Raw genomic sequence first — 1000 nt, forward strand, 5'->3', positions numbered from 1 at the left:
TCCTCCTATAAAGACGGAACCCACAAATGGGGTACCCAGACTACCAACATTTCTATCCAGCTAACTAGAAATGGCTTCTTACTTCCTCCTATAAAGAGATATTGATCTCCATGGAGAAATCTGTCCCCACTGAGGCACTTTAAGTTTCAACCGGATAAACAACTGCCTGTTTGTGCCCCTTCTCCCTATGCCTATAGCTCCTATCTGGACCCAGTTGCTTCAGTGCTCAACCCATTAATCTCTTCTTTGAGAAACTCTGTTTTACAGCCAAATCTATATTGACTTATGGCTAGGTTCCTTTGTAGGGGATTTATTCTTTTTCCCACTGTTCTTTATTTTATCTCAGATTACAGAAATTTTGCTTAGATGAGGATGGGTCTGTCTTTCTCTTAGGCATTTTTCAACCTACAATCATAGCCACCTGCACAGGGTCTCGAGGTACTAACAACAAAGTTAGTCATCCACTTTCACTTTAGGGAGGCAGAGAATAAACACTTATCAGGCATTCTCTGGATGAAAGGCTCGTTATCAAAATTAGCATTCTGCCCATGGTACAGTCATTCTGGAGCAGCTACAACCATCATGTTTTGAACAACTTCCTCCTTGGTATTCTCCCCAGGTTCAACATAATATCGTCATTGAAATAGAAATTGAAACCAGCAAAGCCATGGTTTGTGACATGATTCTGCCCTGACTGAAGAGTCTGTATGAATCATATGTGAGAAGGCCTGCTTGCTACCATTCACTCTGTAAAGCATAACCGTTCTTCTTTCAGCACGAGACGCACCAACTGAATCTCTAACAGCACCCCACTCTTTGGACAGAAGTTTTATCAGGTTTCCCTCCTTTGCCTCTTGGGTGCATCTTACTACTCTGCATGGGGTTATATTGCAGTTACAGGAATAGTAATCGTGGTTTTCAAATGGGGGAAAGTTGTGCTTTTCTCTTTGACAGGAATCAGAGGTGTTTCCTTTGTCCCCTACTCTGTAGAAGAGGATGC

General features: G+C 42.3%; 1 annotated feature.

Annotated features, from left to right (window-relative positions):
- Positions 531-800: an enhancer, noted in NCBI's record as "active region_29827". NCBI's record gives its function as "activates an Ori minimal core promoter by ATAC-STARR-seq in GM12878 lymphoblastoid cells {active_cell/tissue: GM12878}" and the evidence as "EXISTENCE:reporter gene assay evidence [ECO:0000049][PMID:35858748]".

Source organism: Homo sapiens, chromosome X (assembly GCF_000001405.40).
Source record: "Homo sapiens chromosome X, GRCh38.p14 Primary Assembly".
NCBI classification, from domain to species: domain Eukaryota; kingdom Metazoa; phylum Chordata; class Mammalia; order Primates; family Hominidae; genus Homo; species Homo sapiens.